The sequence below is a fragment of the Homo sapiens genome, chromosome X (genome assembly GCF_000001405.40).
Source record: "Homo sapiens chromosome X, GRCh38.p14 Primary Assembly".
NCBI lineage: Eukaryota > Metazoa > Chordata > Mammalia > Primates > Hominidae > Homo > Homo sapiens.
In genome coordinates, this window is record NC_000023.11 from 63,651,805 (window position 1) to 63,670,055 (window position 18,251).

General features: G+C 40.8%; 1 protein-coding gene across 27 annotated transcripts in view; it reads right to left on the reverse strand.

Moving 5' to 3' along the window:
• Window positions 1–18,251, reverse strand: part of ARHGEF9 (Cdc42 guanine nucleotide exchange factor 9) — a 150,248-nt gene that overhangs the window by 16,838 nt on the left and 115,159 nt on the right. For 20 of the 27 annotated variants that reach the window (NM_001173479.2, NM_001353921.2, NM_001330495.2 and 17 more), the window contains 2 exons: window positions 14,082–14,213; window positions 3,690–3,933 (listed from right to left, as the gene is read on the reverse strand). In NM_001173479.2, coding sequence (NP_001166950.1) covers window positions 3,690–3,933; window positions 14,082–14,213 — 376 coding nt within the window. The remainder of the gene's footprint in view (window positions 1–3,689; window positions 3,934–14,081; window positions 14,214–18,251) is intronic. The other 7 variants (NM_001353922.2, NM_001369041.1, NM_001369045.1 and 4 more) reach the window with 2 other exon arrangements.

Genomic DNA, 18,251 nt, shown 5'->3' on the forward strand with positions numbered 1-18,251 from the left:
TCACATCAACAATATAGAGTCCTTCCAAATTTATGTTAAAAGAATGAGTAAAGGGTATGAGGCAATTCACAAAAGAAATGAAAATAGCCATTAAGCATATGAAAAAAAAAAGGTTCCAACACTTTTTTTCAATTTACTAGTTGAGAAATGGCAAACTGAAACAAATAGATACTATCCAGTGCTGGTGAGGCTATGCGGAAGTGGGTACTCATAAAATTATGCTAGGAGTATAGATTCTACAAATCTTTCAGAATTTAATATGCAAGTATGTATTAAAACTGTTCACATCCTAACATTCAGTCATTCCACTTTAGGGTACAGATCCTACAGGAATAAAAGCATCAGTAAGTAACAATCAGATACGTACATGGATATTTATTGCAGCAATATCTGTAGTGGGAAATAAAGCTAAATATAAAATGAATGTCTAGCAAAAAACGAACAGTCAGCCCTCTGTAACCATGGGTTCCACATCTGGATTCAATCAACTGTGGATCAAAAATATGCAGAAAAAAGCGGCTGGTTGCTTCTTTACTGAACACATATGGATTTTTGCCTTGTTTTTATTCCCTAAACAATACAGTATAACAATTATTTACATAGCATTTACATTGTGTTAGGTATTATAAATAATCTAGAAATGATTGAAAGTATATGGAGGATGTACATAGGTTATATGTAAATACTATATCATTTTATATAAGGGATTTGAGCATCCATGGATTTTGATATGCACGGGAGTCCTGGAACCAATATCCCGTGCATACCAAGAGATGACTGTGGTTATTACATAATATTATGGAATGTTATACAGCTGTTTATAAGAAAAGTGTGATGAATTTATTGATGTGCCCATTCGACTAGACTGTAGTCCTCACTAATGTAGGTGTTGCCATGAAGGTATTTTACAGATATAATCAAAGCCCCTGATACGGTTTGGCTCTGTGTCCCCACCCAAATCTCATGTGGAATGGTAATCCCCATGTGTTGGGGGAGGGGCCTAGTGGGAGGTGATTGGATCATGGGGGGAATTTCTCCCATGCTGTTCTCATGATAGTGGGTGAGTTCTCACGAGATCTGATGGTTTAAAAGTATGTGGCACTTCCCTCTTGCTCTCTCTCTCTCCTGCCACTATGTGAAGAAGATGCTTGCTTCCCCTTTGCCTTCTACTATGATTCTAAATTTCCTGAGGCCTCCCAGTGATGCTTCCTGTTAAGCCTGCAGAACTGTGAGTCAATTAAACCTCTTTTCTTCATAAATTACCCAGTCTCAGGTATTTATAGCACTGTGAACATGGGCTAATACAGGCCCTAATCAGTTGACTTTATATAAGGGACAATATCCTAGATAATCTGGATGGACCTGACTGAATCTGTTGCAAGACCTTAAAAGTAGAGCCTAGGTCTCACACAGAAAGGGCAGAAATTCTACCTGTGCACCACAGCTTTAGCCCATGTCTGTGCCACTTCATCCTTCTCATGAGCTTCTCTTCCTGACTGCCTGTAGATGACAGCTTTGGCCTATGTCCATGGGTTTGAGCCTGCCTGTGATCCTCCATTTCTGACTGCCTGCTCTATGGAATTCTGAGCCACTTAGTCAACATTCACAATCACATAAGCCAATTCCTTGTAATGCAATTTTCAGCAGTGGTATGATATATCTCCTACAGGTTATGCCTCTTTGGTTGAACCCTAACTGATACAAGGGGTTATAGTTAGATTCTATATTATTTATCTGGGGAGTTACTTATGATAAATTAAGTTTAAAAAAGCAACCTACAAGGTAATATATATAATATAATTTTTGTAAATATAAAAGTATTATGTTTGTATATGTTTATATGGACATGAGATAAGTATGGAAAGATGCATACTGCACTGTTAACACTGGTTATTTCATTCAGTATGGAAGTGACAGAGAAGGGGAAGGAATGCTAAGTTTTCTTTATATATTTCCATATTTGTTTAAATGGTTATAATGGTCATGCATTAATTTTATAATTAAAAAGTAAAAGTTTAAAAAAGCTATGATAAAACTATATGACCCTCATAAAATAATGATTAAAAATATGAAGTGATCTGATAGAAATGCTAATGATATAATGATGAGTGAAAATGAGGATACAAAATTATATCTATCCACTATAGAGAGGCAGGTATGGGGAGAGAAAGAAAAAAGATTCAGTCACCTTGATTTTTCTAATTAGACACATAAAAAAGGCTGGAAATATATATCAAAATGTTTATGAAAGTTATTACTGAGTATGTTCATGTGTTTTTTTTTTTTCTTGTACTTTTCTGTTGCTTTTTCCCTAAATTTCCTACAATGGAAGTGATTTACTGTTATTATCAAACCAAAAAAAAAAAACCTCAACATTTTTAAAGATGAACATATGCCTGTTCAGAAAGTAATTTCTAGAAGCTTTTCTATTAGAAGCAGATAAAGTCACAGGTTTATTAGGGCATTGTGTGGGAGACATTGTGTTAGAGCCAATGGGAATGGCAGGGGCCTTCTAATTGATTCAGGGTCTGAACACTAAGACCATTCCTTTAATAACTCTAACAGCCTAGGCAAGGTCAGTGGCTGCTGCTGCTTGCTATTGAGAGAAGTAGCCAGCAACATTTATATGCCACTCCACATCATGTCCCAATGGAGTGTCCACATACTGAAAGCAGTCTGATTCCAATGAGACTCAAAGTGAGTTATTAATTTGCACTCTACCCAAGTTCTGAGGAGAAGACTGGAGTTAGATTTGTCTTTCTGACCATCCTTTCTTACCTCTGGATAATTTCAATCGCCCACATGGAAGGATAAGAGAACCCTTTTGCACCAGGATTCAATGAGTAGGCCCATTTTTCTAGAGACAATTTCCATAAACTTGAGCTTTCAGGCCTTCTAAAGTACAATTTCACTCCCATAAGCAATAGGGCAAAGACAGAAACTGTATGTCTTCTCAGGGAATTAACAAGTCTGGTTGCTTGGTATTTTTTATGACAGAAAGGCAGGACCATGAGCAAGAGACCAGACAGTACTTTATAAGTCACAAAGCTATAGCCAATGGCGTCTAAATCCCACAGTTGGGAAGCAACATGAAAAATATCTCTACTATCTATATCCCCACTGGAAAAGAGAAACAACTTATTGTAAGGCAAAAAAGTATGTTTCAGTGTGATTTGAAATCATGAAAATGGTCATGGTTTTAAGTCCTGTTATATTTTCTATAATTTACTTTAAATACTTCCACACAGAAAGTGTGAAGTGTATGTGCATATTATTTGAATCTACAGTCTAGGGGGATTTAGTTAACATCTGAAGTATCCTAATCAGGAGTACAAACTATATACCTAATGACAGAGAGCTCAGGCTTTATGAAGATTACAGAACAGGTTGTATAACTGATTTTTGTTTATTTGCTAATAAATGTATGTTTGGGAGAATCAAGCCTGAGGCTGGCTTTCAGTGTGATATTCTTAGCTAGTAGGGGAGGACAACCTATAGTTCAAACCTACCACTGACTAATGGAAGCTATTGGTACTTACCAAAAAGAACCTAATAATAAGGAACCACCAAAGTAGCTTAAGTCAGTTTGCAACAGAAATCTTCCCTCTGACTCCAAGAAAATGGAAACCAATTCAAACCTCCTATGTTCTTCATAGCCATGTTCTTCTTTCTACTCTCAGGTCACTTACCAATTTTTTCATCTTCCTGTACCATTTTCCTCTCTTCTCTGAAAGCCCTGAGCCAGCGTATTTTTTCCTCCAGCTTCTTGGCAAAGAACAGATGTATCTCCTCAGTCTCCTTGTTGTGAAGCTTAAAGGCATTCTTCATGCTGACATTGAAGTCATCATCTCTGCCATCCTCAATGTCAACTACCTCATATTTATCCATGTCAATGCGGCCTTTGTAGTACAGGATGTCTCTCCGGATTAGGTCCTAGATGGGAAGGAAGAGGTTTCTTGAAGGTATGTGCACGGCGAGTACTAGAAGAGTTGGCACAGGGGCACAGCAGAATGCTAACACTGTCACCGTTTTGAAGTACCAATGGGGGTTGGTTTGTTCTAAATTTGGCCAGGTTATACTAGTAGTCTGACACTGACAGGTTGGTTAACTAGATGCCCAAAGAAAAAGCCTCTGTCTCACCTCGAAAGATCATTTCAGACACCAGAATCAATCCTTGGACGTGTGTGCAAGTCTGCTGATGGGAGGTAGGAAACAGTAAGCCACATAAACACGGCTAGCAAGGGCTTCTCCTTTTCGAAAACATCAGCAAGCCCACTAGAGGTATGAAATGAGCTGGCTGGTTGCCTGGAGTGTGTTCAAATATCTGTGCAGGCCAGTGAGACCTGAACATCAGAGGGGGACTGAGTAGTAAGAGTAGCTAGGAGGCCACAGACTGCTGGCAAAGGATTACCTAGGGGGGGTCTAACACTTAGCACTCTGGGGATTTTTAGAAAAGGCCCAGTCTGCCAAGAGAAATGGAGGTAAAATTAAATAAAGAAGTTCACATATCAACACAGATGAATGTCACAAATCTTATGGAGAAAAACAGAAGTTGTAGATGGATACAAACAGTATGTCGCCTATTTGTTATTGTTGTTTTGCTCTCATAGACACAAAATTGGATTAATCCTAACCCTAGTCCATGAGACACTCATAATTGGTCCATGCATGGCATTTTTATTTCTCTATTTATTCATTTACTTACTTATTTTAATAATATAAAGTACTGGTGAATCTGCCACCAATCCCAAAGTTACAACTCCAAGGCATCCTCCATCCTAAATCCTATGTTCATCATTTCCATGGTTTCCTTTCTATATAGTTTTACCTCATCTGTATCTGTTACCTTGAAAAACATACAAAAAAATGCCACATAATGTTTAAAGATACATATGTATGTAGAAAATTATAAAGAAATAAGTGACAATGATATATGCCACGTTCCAGACAGTACAGAGCAGAAAACGGGGAGGGGCAAGAGAGGAAGGGGAAGAAAAAGAAGCAGAAGAGAGGGTGGGAAGGAAAACTATTTGTAATGAATTATTTCTTAATGCGGATAGTAAACACGTGGGTACTCATTATATTATTTTTATATCTTTTTGAATGTCAAATATTTCATAAGTTAAAAAGGAAAATAGAGGGATGGAAGAAATGACATATAGGCCTATGGAATGTCAGATCTTATAAATATCTTGGAGTGGCCTTTCAGCCCCTCCTCCTCTTGGCGCTGCCCTCAGCCTCCTCTGAGAACACATCCACTGCTGGGAGATGTGGTATGGCTGAGTCAGGTTGAGGAAGGCCCCTATGAGTCCTGTCCTGACAGATATCTTCGGGCCAGCTCTCCCTCCTCTCTGCTTTATCTGCTCTTTCAGTCAGCTGGACAGAGTCAGAAATGCTCATTAATTTTTATTAGCATTTTACAGTTCAATTAAACCATTTCCATTCTACTGAATTGCCTAACTTGACTCACTTCTCAGCTGTGTGCTCCCTATGAAGGATCTTCTTTTGCCCACTCACATTCCCAATCCTAACTCTTCACATTGTGCGGTATACTGAGATTTTCAGTTGGGCTGGGAAAGGCTACCTTGCAGGATTCCCAGCATAGCAAGGTTTCCCAGCATAGCTCTGTCAACCTCAAAGGCCCAGGCTGGAAAATACAGATGTCGTTGAATTGCTTTTGAAAAAATAACAATCATGTTACTTTTTTCCTCCCATAATGATTGTTCATATAAATAAGAAAAGAATATAGATGGATTCTGATCTATTGGTTGTCCCCAGGATCAAGTTCACAGGAGAGGAAGAGTTCAGCTATACAGAGAGGGCCAATGTTGCCCCAAGCCTATTTCAGAACCTGGGTTCCTTTTACCATGTTCAGTGTGCACAAGCTCAATCCTGGCCAAAAGGATAGAGTGATTCCCATACACTGAGTTCCACAATTCTCAGGAACACTTTTTGAGACACATGTATAAAAAGTGGGCCCTATCAGGCTAATCTAAGTACAAAAGCAGGATAAGCTAGGCAGAATGTATGAATGTAATTTATCTCGATCTCAGAAAGGTTTGAATTGTGCCTTACCATACATAATATAATACATACAAACCTGGAAAGCCAGATCTGAACCACACATTCTCACCGGACCACATTGCCTAAAACAGGCAGCCTCAACTTCCTTGTTGCTAACTTCAGTCCGCAGCCTCCTTCCGCTCCGCCCCCATTCCGAGTTGGTGTGTCATAGTCATTGAGAGCTTTCAACACATTTGCTAGTTCCCAAAAATAGAAAGAATATGCATGATCTTGGAGCTACATTAAAAGCATCAATTGAATCTCCTATTGTTTCTTTAGATATGTAAGGATGACAAGAAGCTAGAGAGAATTTCTGCTTCTGTGGTGGGGAAACAGGGCTAGAGAGATGTGTTACTAAAATTATCCCTTTGCCTGTTCTCCCTGGTCCCCCAGAGGGTTAAATGTGAGTTTTCAGGCGCTAGATTTGTCATAAGCCAAATGTAAAGATGTGATAGGAATAATTAAGAATGACCTACTAGTTGAGGAACTCCAATCAGAAAGAGTAGCTAAGACTATAAGCAGTAAGCAGCATGGAACAAAAGAAAGAGCATGATGTAGAGTCTGAAGCCCTGAGTTTGATGCCTTGCTGCCTAACCTACCAGCTGTATGGTTACGGACAAGCCAGTTAACCTCTCTGAGCCCCAATTTCCTCAACTAAGAAATGAAGACAGTTATCCTTACTCTGTAAAATAGCTATAAAGCTCTAATATAAACATGTCATTTCCAGGACATGAGGCCAGACTTGTCCACCAAATACAGCCCTGAGCTTTCTTGCTCCTGGGCCAGTGTTTCATAGTCCTTAAAACCCTCTTTTGATAAACTTAAAGGAAAAACATCTCACTACCTCCTTTAGCTCATTTAAACTTTCCAAATAATTTAAATATTGTGAGTAAAAATAAGTCAAAGCAAGGGTAACTCTGAATATTTTTTCAATTTACATAGCTGCCCCACTGTCCCTGGAAATTCTATACATCCTTTCAGGACAGGGTGGTATTTGTCACCAAAATAACAGATATATATTTGGGGTCACACTAATAGCTGCTCTCTGGCCCAACTATGCTTCCTATTCCAATCTTAGCCTTCGAGGTCAAACTTACACATTCTTATTCCTGAAATAAACTTTCTCTGACTGCTCAAGCTGATGTGGCTCCCCTTCTCCAAATTCTGACACCAATTGTGAAGGCCCTGACATACCACACACTTGGCACTTAGCCACCATGCTGCTCACAGCTTTTAGTTTGCCTGCCCATTAAAGGCTGTGCCCAGCACTCTATCTTCTTTGGTCTTGCTTCACTTAGGGATTGTCCAGAGAAGAGCAGCTGACAAAGCCCCAGAGTTTCCTCTGGTTGTCCTCTGCACATGGCAAGGGGACAAAGTCCTCTTGAACCCTGGTTGCCTGTGGTCTTGTTGGAACCAGGCTGCCCATATGCCACTTGTTAATGGTAGTCTGAGTGCCTTCACAGGGACACGGTGAGCAGGTGCTCAAAACAGATGCTATTTGGATCATCACAACTTTCCTGCCTAATGAAGTTTATCATTTCCAATAAAATGCCAGCCTTCCTCCTTTTTCCTTGTGCTCGTCTGAATTGGGAGACATTAAGGGAGCTAGTTCCTCCTTAGTAAGACATTGCAGGATATTCTCTACAAATGACAGATGCTGCAATCTGGGGAATGTAACTGTTCAGGATTGTAGCCTGCTTCACTTGTTTGTAAATAAGGTCCTCCCTGCCCCTTTATAGAGGGGACCCTAGTTACTCTTCTCTAGCCTTTTCTCTCCAGATCCTAGGGAAGGTACATGGGGTTTGGACTGGATTTATTTCGCTCACTACTATATTCCAGCATCCTAGAATGCATGCTTAATAATTACATCAAAATAATAAGAACAACAATAATAGCAACAGTGACCCCTTAAATAGCATATATTATGTACCATGTACTGTCCTAAATGCTCTGCATTTATTAACCTAAATAATCCTCCAATGTAGGTACTGTTATAACCCCATCTGATGAGGAACTATAGACATAGAGCAGCTAAGAAGCTTTCTCAGGAATAGAATGCTTATACACTGCTGGTGGGAATGTAAATTAGTACAGCCATGATAGAAAGCAGTTTGGATATTTCTTAAATAACTTAAAAAAGAACTACCTTTTGACCCAGCAATCCCATTATCGGGTATGTACCCAAAGGAATATAAATCGTTCTACCACAAAGACACATGCACGCGTATGTTCACTGCAGCACTTTTCACAGTAGCAAATACACGGAGTCAGCCTAAATGATGATCAATGATAGACTGGATAAAGAAAATGTGGTACATATACACCATAAAATGCCACAAAGCCATCAAAATAAATGAAATCATGCCTTTTGCAACAACATGGATGGAACTGGAGGCCATTATCCTAAGCAAATTAACACAGGAACAGAAAACCAAATACCGCATGTTCTCGCTTACAAGAGGGAGCTAAATATTGAGTACACAGGGACACAAAGAAGGAAACAACAGACACTGGGGTTTACTTGAGGGTGGAAGGTGGGAGGAGGGTGGGAATAAAAAACCACCTATTGGTACTATGTTCATTACCTGCGTGATGAAATCATTTGTGTACCAAAACCCGGCAACATGCAATTTACCTACGTAACAAATTTGAATATGCACCCCCTAAAGCTAAAATAAAAATTGGAAGAAAAAACAGAAATTTTTCCAGGAATAAAAGCTACTAAATGGCAGAGCTTGGCTTTGGGTTCAGGCTGTCCAGCTCTAAAATCTCTGCTTTTGTTTACAATGTGCTATATTGCCTCTAAATAAAAAAGTACTGAATGAATTATTAGTAACACTGCATATATAGTAATAGTATTAATAGCCAACATTCACTAAGTACCTACTATGTGCCAGGTACTACATCTGCATTGTCTCATTTAACCCTCACAACTTCCCTTCCTTGTAGATACACTGTCATTCTCATTTTGCAAACAAGGGCATAATTATAAGCACAGAAAGTTTGCCCAAGGTCATATAGCTCATGGGCGAAAGGAGATTGCCTTCTAGTCTGGCCCTAGCACCCATGCTCTTAACCCCATACTCCACTGTTCCCCACTACCTCAGGTGGTTCTCTCCCAAAGCCTCTTGAGATGACTTCTATCATCAGCCTGATTTGACACTGAGGAAAATAAGGACAAAGTTAAAGAACTGGCCAATGGTTAGAAAAGTTAGTTAAGAGACAGAGTAAAGTTAAGTACTCAGGAGTTCTGGTTTCAAATCCCCTTCTTCTTTCTGCTCCAGCCCCATCTCTGTTGCTATTATTGGATTTATAAGCTGTCCCAAATAGCTCATCCTCCAAGTCTGACCCTTCAGTGCAAGAAGAAATTGTCCAAATGCAGAAACTTCCCTGAACAGAAGTCTTCTGCCCAACATCATTACACGTTGTTTAGTTCTGATCCCCTTGAATATGGTGAAAGCAACAGGAATAAAGAACAGTTATGACACAAGGGACAACAGAACATGGCCAGACTGGCACAATAGGACAGAGGGTGCAGGAAAAGCGGATCTGCTCCTTTCCACAGTAAATAGTCAAAGAGAAAAAAATCCCCTCAAAGCATCAAAATAATTTCCCAAATAATTATATCACGAAGAAAATAATAAAACACATCAAAAACTAAAATAAAAATTCAATGAAACACAGAGGAGCAGAGACTGACAGTATAGATAATACGAAGAAAAAGAACAGAGTCTTATCTGGATTTTTTGGAAGAAAAGTTAAAAGAGTGGTGACAGCAAAAATTAAAGAAGGGGTCACATAATTAGAAGCCACTGGTGACTTTCCCACACACTATAATTGCCATTTTAAAGGTACCTTCACACATGCCCACGTACTCTCTTGCTCTCCTTTTCTCTCTCTCTCTCTCTCTCTCTCTCTGAAACAAGCTACAAGCTGCATAAGTTGTTTAAGCTGTTCTGAGTGGATTAGTCAATCCCAATTCCCAATGTACAAAACAGGCACATTGTTGCATAATTGACTGGGAATTAAGGGAATCTTAACAGTTGGATGAGAACTTAGTGGTGAGGCCACATGCTCATGGAGAGAGATCAGTGTTTCAATGTTTACTATACTATCTTTGGCACATAATAATCTAGCCCATATTTGGGTACATCTAGTGATGGGGACCTCACTACTTTATAAGGCTGTCTATTTCTTTGTTGGAGGTTGGGTAAGATGAGATTAATGAGTACCAGGCACTCTATCAGGCATTTTATATGCATTGATTCCATTTAATCTTCATGACAATCCTGTAGAATAGTTATTCTCACCATTCACAACTGATATAATGGAGGTACAAGAAGGAAAAAGTCACTTGCTTGAAATCATATAGTTAGCGAGTGTTGAAATCAGGATTTGAGCCCAGAATTGTCTGATTACAAACTTTATGTTTTATCTATCACTCCATATGACTTCTGTCTGCAAGGAAACCATGGGAAAATCTGAAATGCAGGAGGACACTCTCTGTCCTGTGCAATCCTCCTATTAACTAATTAAGTTACTGGCAAAATAGAAACTGAGTTTTATAGGATATGACTTGTTCTCAGAAAGCCAAAGATGACCCCTGTGGCCACTGTATCTCTTTCTAAATGTTCACAGGCTGTTTAATAATCAAGTACAGAATTTTGACAAGCTCAATGGTAATAATGACATAAATATTACCAATGTGGAATCTGGAGCCAGCGTATCTGAATGTAATTCCTGGCTCTATCACTCATTAGCTATTTCACCTTGGGAAAATTATATAACTTATCTAGGTCTCACTTTACATATCCTTAACATGGAAATAATATAATAATAGTACCTACCTCATAGGTTTGTTGTGAGGATTAAATTGAGTTAATAAGTGTAAAGTTCTTAGAACAGAATCATAGAAGCACTCAATAAATGCTAGTTCATTAATACTTTATTGTTGATTTCTACTTTCTAGAACATATTATTTTCTGCTTTGAAAACTGGTACATTTTCCTATGTGTAGTCTTCTCACAGATCTCCTGGAACCCATAATTCTGTCAAGATGACCTAGAGCAATTCCACTTGGGACATCATAGAATTATTTCAGTGCTCTGGGATGTATATATTTTTAAATAACATCATACTTAAGTTCTGTTAGACTAGAATCCTTATGAAAGTAGAGCTGGTTGGCACAGAAGAGGGGCTCAATATCTATAGCATGAAAGAATTCAGAGCAGTAAAGTACTCTCTTACAACCTCAGATCCTTTGGGCTTCAATTCCCTTTGAAACAAGTTTATGACTTCTTTTCCTTGATAGAGAAGGAATTTATATTCCCCTGTTATCAGTAAACCATCTGCCTCAAACAGGGGGTTGTCAGACTATCACTTCTTTTTTCTTCATTTGAACATAGCTTTAAAAGTAATTAAAATTAAGCATTTTTAAAAACTAATTTTGACTCATTCTAGGATTCATGAAACTCTTTTGTCACCCCTGTTAAATATTATATCATATGTAAAATATTATATATTATTTAGCCACTTCCTAGGGGTCTTTGTTTCCTCCTTTTTAAATATGAGATCATCAGAAAGCTTAATGTGGCCATATTTCATTATTTAGCATCCTCACCTCCTTTCTTCCTGGTAAAAAGGATTACTGAACTTTCGGACATCCAATTAAATTGTGTGCCTGAGGTGAACAAGGTGACAGCCTCACTCACCTTGGCCCAATCCAGACATTCCCTTCCTTTCCTCCATGGATTCTCTTTGTCAAAGGAATTTTCACCTCCAGAGAGCCTAGTCCATTCCTCCCAGCTCTATCTCAAGAAGAGAGTCTTTTGTAGTAATGGCAAAAGGTCCCTAAACAACCCAGCAGACAAAATACCTTGTCTCTCTGCATACCTTCTTTTGGTCCCATGATCATTTTTCAAAAGTTTATCCCTACTTGTTGAATGGAAAGTCTTATTGTAGATAACAAATGGAAATCTTCAAAACAAACATCAGGTAGTTTTAATGGCCTTTGAACAATTAGGCTATAACTGCTCGTGTTCTGGGAAGCCAGTGTCAAGAACACCCAGGTATATGGAGTTGGTAGCCTTTATACTCCAGACTCTAGGCTGGCTGTGTCTTGGGAAGAAAGCCTATGGTTCTTGTGAAAACAAGAAAGCTCCCTTCTGTGGGAAGCTATGACTGCTTCGAGGTTTCTCTTGTTTTCACCATCCCTGTTATATGCTTCCCCTACCCTGCCAGCTTAGCTGGTTTGAATCCCCAGCCCTGGCTTGACTTCTAGTTTCTTCCTAATCATTGGCTCCCACTATCTGGCTTAGACATGGCTCATTACTCCATCTTGGTCTTCCACTGCCCGTTGAGTTCTAAGTTAAACCCATTGTTTATCTTGTTTCTTCCCCTTTATTCCTGGCTTCTGACTCACTGTTTTATGTTCTGGATCCTGGTCTATCTCTTATAGCCACTGCTTTCTAGAGCCTAGTTTCACAATTTAGTTAAAGTAATCCCAGCCTTGGCTAACAGATGCCAAAATTAACAGGGCCTAGGGGGTGCAGAACTATAAAATAAGCCAGGTTCCTATTTGTTTACTGCCTCTATGGCTACTTGTTCTGAGTGTAAACACCTTAGTGGGAAGAACAGGCACATTAGTGTTGGTGACATGGCTGATATGCTGAGAATTTCCATGGCCACCTAAATTAACCCTCAAAAATCCTACCTCCTGATTTTATGAAAGTCCTGAGAAGAGTTGGGGGAGCTAAAAAGAAGCATTAGTGTTTGGCTGAGTTTCAGATTCATAAAAGTTCTCTGTTTGAGGGTTAGCTCCATACTGAGGTAAGTTATTATCCCCATTAACTGACTGGCTATTGGTTCTAGAGTGGACATTCAGAGCTTATCACCAAACACTGAGGCAGTCTGAACCTAAGCTCAGTGTTTTTCCCCTCAATCCACTGTCAAAGCAAATGGATAAAGATTCAATACAAGATATGGCACACACATACACACACAGAGGACAGGGGGCTTAAAACTGTGTGGTTCATGTTCCAGCCCAGAAAAATGTAACACTATTTACTCTGGTGTTTTGTGACTCAGCACTCCTCTTCAGAGGCATTCACTACTGGGTGAAGGAGAGGACAAAGGGACTAGATGATGGCAAAAGAGCAAAGGGTAGCATGGTGAATTTGTAAAGTCACTCTAAGCATTCTGGTTTCTTCTTCCATTTTTACTTTCCTTGGTCCCCAATTCTTCCCAGTTAGCCCCTGGAGCCAAAACTGGTCTGAACTCTCTACTGTGAGTGAGGAAGTAGGGGTAAGAGTATCCCATAAGGAGGAGTGACGCTTAGAACATATGCTACCCTTCCCAGCCTCACAAAGGAGAAGAGTCCTAGAAACCAACATACACAGAGTTATCCAGAGTCAGTGACAAGAGTAAGACCTCTCCTCTAATGGATTACAAAGAAGGAAGAGTGGAGAAGAGCACGGTTGGGGGTTGTGGGGAACCAGTGCACCTTGTATAGGAAATAGGTAGAGGCATGGAAAAAATTCCTATATCACAAAGGTACCTACCTGTCAGGGCAAAAGTAGGAGGCTCCTCGTTGGTTCCCAGGGCAGAGAGGGGCCACATGGCCAGAGCCATTAGAGTGGAAATGAGGGAAAGTGCTCAGGGAAACTACTATTTACCAACTAAGATAGACATATTTCAATATTTTTTACAAATGGTGCAGACCAGCAGCTCTGGGTAGAAGAAAGTGAGAAGGAGCACCCCAGGGTCATTAGGGCAAAGGGTAAAAAAAATACCAAGACAAAATGCACCGACTTCAGAGTTTTTCACTGCCCACAAGCCAACCCTGCCTGTGACATTCATGCCACATTAGTGTTCCTGATACAGAATTGCTGCCAATCTCCTGTCTGTTTTCCCCCCATCAGTATTTGCCCACTTTGTTGGGAGCCTGGGGATGATGAAGAGGAGGGTCCGGTACCCTGTTAGGTACCCATCTCCCTCAGGGAAGAAGGGGGCAGGGTTACCTTCTTGCAGAGGACCATCTGGTGGTCAAACAGGAAGAAGACCCGCTGCTGGTTGCGGCCGTAGGGCTGGTAGATCCAGGCCATCTCCCCAGTGTAGATCAGCTCCGAGCTCCTGTCTAGGATGTCCTCGCCCTGGGAAGGACATGTGATGATGAGAGGCAGCCAGGCAGAAGGATGGCACCATCACCTGCCTGGAGGCACCCAAGGCTGGGCATAGACTGGGATAGGAAGAGGCCAGAAAGGGCCTGGTAGAGACAGAGGGAGAGAGGGACTCCTGGGACTCCTCAAAAAGCTTTACAGCTCTGTGAGCTAGGAAGACCCATTTTCTTATTCACCCCAAGGCCAAATGTGCCCTGCCACCCGGGACTGCTACAGCTTTTCTACACCAGTTACCCTCTGGTCCTATAAGTTCTCTGTCTGTCTGTCTCTCTCTGTGTCTGCCTCTCTCTCTCTCTCTCTCTCTCTACATACACACATATATATGTGTGTGGAGAAAGAGAGAGAGAGAGATTTTCTTTATATATATATATATACACACACACACACATACACACATATATATATACATACACACACACACACACACACACACACACACACACATATATATATTTCTCCATCTCTCTTCTCTATAAATCTCTTTTTCTGTCCCAGTCTCTCAATCCCTGCTCTGGTCCCTCAGTCTCTTTCTAATACTTGAAGAACAGGCCTTAATCTCACTGCCTCCCACATGAGTAGAAGGAAACGGGAGGACAAGAAGGAAGATGATAACAGAGGGAGAGAAAAAGAACCCACTCCCCTCTTATAATTGTTTTTCCTTCTCCTCTCAGTTCACTAAAATCTACTGATTGAATAAGAAACTTAACTGCCACATGATTCCTTGGTCTGTTATCCAGAAAGCCTAGAACTACTTATCCTCCTTGCTACAAAGAGTCTGACACAAATAGGCACCAAGACACCTAAGTCCTAGCTAATTCAATTCTACAGAGTTTCCAAGTCCTACTCCTTCTTTATGGCAACTCTGATAGGTCAGAAGTATGTTGCAGGTGTGTGTCAGATGTCAAGGTAGACCTGGCCCCTGTCCTCAAGGAGCTTATGTCTTCATGGAGGAGACGAATGCAGGTATGCTCAAAACTCATGAAACACAAGGCAAACCAACACCGAAGTTGTGGGCACAGGGGTGAGTATTCCAGGGCCTATGTGAAGATAGGGACAAAGAGTAGTGTCCCAAGACACAGAAGAATTAATATTTCCTGAGCACCTATATGAGTCAGACAGTGCGCCAGATATTTTCAATCTATCTTATCTGAGACTCGCGATAGCCCTGGGAAGTAGATATTCTTGCTCCCATTTTACAGTTAGAGGTACAAAAAGATCAAGTGATAAGCCAAAGTTGCCCAACTAGTTAGCTACAGGTCCATGACCCAACTCCAACCTCTGGGGCTCCATAGAATATGCTCACTCCTTGTACTATATTATACTGTCTTTAGGCCAAAAAGGCATTGGAGAACCCGTTCCTTCCTCTCTCTCTAGGTGTCAGTTTTCCCAGATGTAGTATGAGGATGATCTTCATGATAGGGCTGATACCTTGATGCTAAGATCTCAGCCTTTCACCCAAAAGCTTCAAGGCAAGGTTAGAGATGGAGACCTTTATACCTCCCAGAAATAATCAGAGGCAAACACAAATCAGGCAGGGTAGTAGGCCAGAGAGTGGGGCATCTAGAAATGGTGTATTCGAGCATACCATTTTTTTCCCCAGTCTAAAGGATGGGAAGGAAAGGGGGAACTCAGTAGAATTATTTTCTAATAATAGAACCCCCCACCCCACTGCCGAAAAAAAGCTTAGAAATACTGCTTCAACTTTAGGCTCCCGACTTAGCCTCAATATTATCCAGGAACTAGGTAAACACTCCTTCTAGAGGGGCTGACATACTAGCACAGAACCTCTGGAGGCCTGATACTGGGAAAGAAAGCCACCAGGTTAGGGAGCAGTACAGCGATTTCCTGCTGGAGGGATGGGAAGCTGAGAGAGGTTCCCACCCTGATGCAGGCTAGGAAGATGTGCTACAGTCCACTTTGAATATGTATGAAGTCCAATAAAGCCATAAAAGAGAGCCAATGCCATAAGAAGATGGTCAGAATGACTTTTAAATATACAATTTACTAAATGTGGATGATACGACCAGGAGGGCTACCCAGTATTATCTGGTCCATCCACTCCACCAGCCAGGGGCATCTCAATTCTACATTTTTTTTTTTCTTTTTTGAGACAGAGTCTCCCTCTGTTGCCCAGGCTGCAGTATAGTGGCACGATCTCGGCTCACTGCAAACTCTGCCTCCTGGCCTCAAGCGATACTTGTGTCTCAGCCTCCCAAGTAGCTGGCATTACAGGCATGTGTGTGACACCATGCCCAGCTAATTTTTATATTTTTAGTAGAGATGATTTTTTGCTATGTTGGCCAGGCTGGTCTCAAACTCCTGACCTCAAGCGATCCACCGACCTCAGCCTCCCAAAGTGCTGGAATTACAGATGTTAGCCACGGTGCCCAGCATCAATTATATTTTAATTACTTGCAACATGTAACTCCACCAATTAGAAAAAAAATTAAAATAATACTCCTCTATGCTCACCAAGCTGACTAACCTTGAGCAACACACGTAGTCTCTCTATAACTCAGTTGCCTCATCATTAACATGGGGATAATAACAGTACCAACTTCATTTGGGTGTTGTGAGGATTATTTAAATTAAAACATATAAAGTGCCTAGAAGGTACACATCACACTATAAGCTCAACATAAGTGATACTTATTTTCTTGACTATTACTGTGTGCCCCAGTTTCCATACCTATCCTGTCTCCTAGTAATATAGCAACCCAGTAAGTGATGTTTTGTTATTACCCCAAAACCAGGGTCAAAGAAATTGGAAGTAATTTGCCCAAAGGGGCAGAACCTAGGTCAGAAGCCCTCCAAAGCCTATGCTCTTATCCACCAAACCACATTAGAATGATGGCCCCCACCCAATCTCCTCCTACTGTCACCAACCCAGGGGAACAACCAGATGCCATGGAAGATTTCTAAGGTGAGAATCTCAAAAGACCTGGGCTCTGAGTCCAATGCTGCTACCAACTCACTCTTGAGTTAGAAACTAGCTTAAACTCTCGCCATCTGTTTCCTCATTTGTAGAGGGGGAATATTAAAACAGTTCCTGTTTGACCCACTTCACATGGCTGTTTGAGAGCGTCAAATGAGTTCATGGAAAGGAGACAGCCCTCTCATTGTTTAGAGATCTCACCCTTGCTTCCTCTGCTCCACTTATATAACACATCTCTTTGTCTTGCCCCCAAAAGTACAACTCCTTCCAAAAATCCCCAACCGTGGGCCTTTGGATCTGTTCACTCCCTCCAGGATTTTGCTCACACTGTTCCCTCTGCTGGAATATGTTTGTCCGCACTAGATGTTCAAGGCCACATCTCATTGATCTCAATATCCTCATTGCCCAGCATAGGGCCTGGCATATGAGGGGAAATGTTCAAAACATAAGTCTCATAATTTCACGTATTTGCTCAAAAACCCTCCAGTGGCTCCCATCTCACTCAAACTAACAGTCAGTCTTATGAAGACAGGATCTGACCTCCAGTCACCTCCCTAACTTCATTTGCTCCCACTCTCTCACTCACTTACTCTACTCTGGGTAGAGTAACAACACTGGCTTCCGTGTTGTTCCTTTAGCACACACTCCTATATTTCAGGGTCTTCGTGTTTGTTTTCCCCTCTGTCTGGAATTCTGTGCCCCAAGAAAACCACATGGTTTGCTCCTTCCTCTCCTTCAGGTCTGTTCTTAACTGTTACTTCCTCAGGTAGTATCCACATTACTCCCTAACCTGTTATCCTACTTTATTTTTCTTCAGAGGCCCATCTACCTGATGATATATGTTTGTTTGTTGCCTCTTTTCCCTACTGGAATATAAATCAATGAGAGTGGAAACTTTGTCATGTTCACTGATGTCTTTGCAGAACCTAGAATAAGGTCTGACACAGAGTACTTGATATTTAAATACTCAATAAATACTGTTTGACAACTAAATCAATAGGTGTGGAATGAACAGTGGCCACCAAAAACTACCCAAAGCTTTCTTGCCAGCTTATCTACCTTCCTTCCTTGGGGTC